We start from the raw sequence: 3726 nt of genomic DNA, 5'->3' as shown, positions 1-3726 counted from the left end.
CTCCCCCTGCACCCAAGAGCTCAGCCCAGGCCTCCAGCCCAGCCCATCACCCTTCCTAAGGCCAAGGGCCGCAATCGGTGAGATCTCTCGTCAAAGAAGAGCCGGGCAGTCAGACAGTGGGAGACTGGAGCATGAAGATAATGTATCATTTAGGCATCAGACTCCTGGGTCATTGTAAATAGTGACTATAGGGTGGCGAAAAAGAAAAGGTTGCTTATCATGACTTTATTTCAGGAAGCTGAAAGCACATCGTCTTGCAAGACTTTTTCCCACATTTTACAGAGGGGGAAATGAAGGTACACAGGCATTTAGGGGCACATTCAGTCATGTGATATATGGCATCCTTGCCAGAACTGACTAGACTCCAACAGTCCTTACTCCCAAAACTAGTACCACACTGATAGAAAAAGGAAGTGTGAGGCTATATCTATCTCCGCCCAGTCCCGGATTCTGTAAACGCTGTGATCATTGCCATCGCTTCTCTAAATTATTATTGTTATTATTGTAATAACTAGTGGGTAGAGTTGAGTGGGTGGTGTCAGATAATTACTAAGACCCCAAAATTAAAGTGGTTGAGTCCTTAATTTTCCACGGCTGCTCAAGATGAAAATGAAAGCTGGCCTCCAGGGGGCCCTGGGAGGAACCCTAATCTTGAGATAGAGGGAGCCCAGGTGGGGAAGGCAATGGAAGAAGAGCAGGCCCAAAAGGCCTAGGAAGCCACACTTGGAAACTCTAGATCCTGGATTACAGGACCCTGAGTGAGAGAGCACAGTCAAACCAACCTGGCTTCACGTCTTGGGTCTGCTTCTCCTTTGCTGCATGACCTTGGGAATTTACCTAGCCTCTCTGAACTTCAAGTTCCTCATCCATCAAATGAGGATAATAATCATAACTAGTCCCTAGAGCTGTTGTTGTAAGTAAGGGTTAGAGGACAGAGTGTGAGAAATCCAGAAATGTGGGCTCTTTGCTCCCTGAGCCTAGAGCTTTGTCAGTGAGGAGACCACTAACTGTGGGGCTGCAGAACTTTCCTGGCATCGGGGACATTAGGAGGCAGAGTCCTATTCTCAGGACTAGCAGTTCAGTGGGAAACAACTTTAGCCTCAGTTTCCCCCCTATTTAAGACAGGGCAACAAAATCTCTTGGGCCCTCGGCCCCTCCCTGCCCCAAGGGCTGTCAGATGGATAAAGGAGACATGGTCCTGGGAGGAAAGGTGGGCGTTAATAACAGCACCGTGGACCTCTATTATTATTGTCATTATTCTGGCTCTGTCCTGTAAGCAGCGGGGACCCAGGTGACTCACTGTCTGCCTGCAGCAGCCCAACATCGGCCTGTTGGGACTTGCCGGCCTGCCGGGATTCCTCCACCAAAGAGGCCTCTGCTTCTTTCTCAGCTCCCGATGGGAGCTGTCAGGGTCCCCATGGCTGGGTGGAAAGGGAGTGGGAGGGGGCATTTGAGACCACAGTGCACAGCTCAGAGAGGCTGGGACACCTGTGCCAACAGCTACGAGTGAGCCTAGGGCATGGAGTGGCAGGAGCTGGGGCTCCTGGAGGTTGTGGGGTTCGCACCTGGAGAGAGTACCTGATTCCTTCGGAGTGGTCCTGGGAATGGCAGGCCCCAGGGAGAGGGTGGTGAGAGACAGTGACAATTCAGGCCTGGGGCTGACCCTGGGACAGCTCTCCCAGGTGGGATGGGATGGGCAATGGGATGAGGACCAAGCCCCCTCCTCCTCCAGGGGAGCCGCTCTGGGTGGCTGGGGCCTGGCATAAGAAGCCGGTGGCATCAGCAGATGATTCTGAAACTCTGTAACCCAAATGCCTGGGTCCTAAAATCTCAGCAATTGTTGGGGGTAGAGAAAGGGAACTGGGGTGCCTCTGACAGCCACCAAGCCCCCTGCCATGCGAGCTCTCTATAAATGTGATTTGAACAGCTATGACTCACCCGCACACACCCCTGCAGTTTCGTGGTGAGGACACAGCTAATCATAGCTGTGTTTGGGGGAGGAAGAGGGATTTTGCCACAAGCTCCACAACAGTCCCTCCTTCTCCAGGATGGCAAAGCGGGTGTGACTGGCCAGGAGTTTGGCAAGTAGGAGTTTCTGCTTCCCTGGGGATTGGCTCTGCCCAGGGGAAGAGCACACCCCTAGAAGGGCCATTAAGGTCAGGGTTGGTTCCCTGATTTCTGATCAGAGATGACACCAGGAAGATCTGAGCTGGATTCCCTCAGATCTGTCAGTGATGATGTTTGCTTGGGTCTTGTTTTTGTTTTGATTAGAGCTGAAAGGCACCAATTACAGGACACCTAGTTGTATCCCAAACTATTGATGAGGAAATCGAGGCCTCATGAGGGTGAAATGACTTGTTCAAAGTCATAAAGGGAGAGTCTCAGAGGCAGAGCCACAGCCCCAACTGCAGATCTGTTGCTCTTTCTGCGAATTCTTCTATGTCTATTTTGATTCCCGAAGAAATGACAACAAAAACAAAAATATCAGCCACCATTCACTGACTAATACCTGCCAGTTACTAGATTAGGTGGTTTATGTATATTACCTCAGGCTGTGAATGCAGATGAGGCGTTCAAACATCAGGTTTACTTAGATCAACTCCACATTTTCTTCCAGGTCTGAGGTACAATCATTCTGGGGCACATGCTCTCAAATTCCCAGCCATTCTGGCTGTGCTTGCTTTATTTAATTGATCTACTACTTTCTACATGTGAGGATCTTGATTGGGCTCTGGGAATCTACAGATAAAATAGGACAAGTTCTTGACAGTGCACTAGGATCAATGATTTACCAGAGTTATAGACAAAGGATCAGGAATACAGACAAATGTGTACTGAGAAGATGAAGAAGGCTTCCAGATTCAGTGACATTTAGGCAGGGTTTTGAAGGCTGAGTAGGAGTTTGCCAGGTGGGGCTGTAGATGAGAAAGATGAAGTACATGCAAAGATAATCACATGTGGAAGAGCTGGTGGAGTGAAAGTGTTCTGTGTGTTTGAGAACAACAGATAGTTTGAGATAGAGTGTGGTGGAATGAAGGGGAAGGTGTTAAATCACACCACAGATGCGGGTTGAGACTACCTGAGCAAGGCCTTCCTTCCAGGCTAAGGAGGGCACCGCTCAAGAGGTTTAAGCAGACATCTGCTTTGGAAGGCTTCTGAGACTCTTATTCCTACTTTATGTAAATACATAGTCTACCTCTGATGTAGCCTGTCTCTCTCCCGCAGACCTCATTTGTCTGGGCACCTGTGAATATGTTTGTCCACCTGGAATGCTAAGAGGTCGTTCAGTGAGGATGACATGGACTGCCAGCTGTGGTCACAAACTCCTGCTCTTTGCCTCTGCACAAGAACATTCTGGGTGCTCCTCTGGCGTTCCTCTCATTGACTGGGTATTAGTGGGGTCTTTACACCCTGGCATTCTGCTCGGTCAGGCGCTGTCAGATGGCCCATGCAGTGGAGCTGGGCCGTGGACCCACAATAAACCCTTCCCTGTCCCTCTTCTGGTCCCAGCTCCTAGCCTACCCCAAACCAAGCTCTGCCCCTGTGAGAACTGCCCTCTTCACTTCTCCACCCCAACTCACATCCCAGGGTGCTTTAACCTTCCTGTTAGAACATGCTTTCTTTCTCCTGCTTTCTCTCTGGCTGGCTTTCCAGCCCACCCTGGTCTGGGTGCCTGGAATACAGAGGCATTCTTAGTTCTTGTCAGGTTGAAAAAAAGGACCTTTC

The 3726-nt window shown here is 50.0% G+C and overlaps 1 annotated feature.

The window, feature by feature from the left end:
* Positions 1508–2026: an enhancer, noted in NCBI's record as "H3K4me1 hESC enhancer chr3:184458434-184458952 (GRCh37/hg19 assembly coordinates)". NCBI's record gives its function as "activates a minimal SCP1, AML or CMV promoter by ChIP-STARR-seq in naive H9 embryonic stem cells {active_cell/tissue: H9 hESC(naive)}" and the evidence as "EXISTENCE:reporter gene assay evidence [ECO:0000049][PMID:30033119]".

This window comes from Homo sapiens, chromosome 3 (assembly GCF_000001405.40).
Source record: "Homo sapiens chromosome 3, GRCh38.p14 Primary Assembly".
NCBI classification, from domain to species: domain Eukaryota; kingdom Metazoa; phylum Chordata; class Mammalia; order Primates; family Hominidae; genus Homo; species Homo sapiens.
This window is presented reverse-complemented; position numbering and strand designations above follow the sequence as displayed.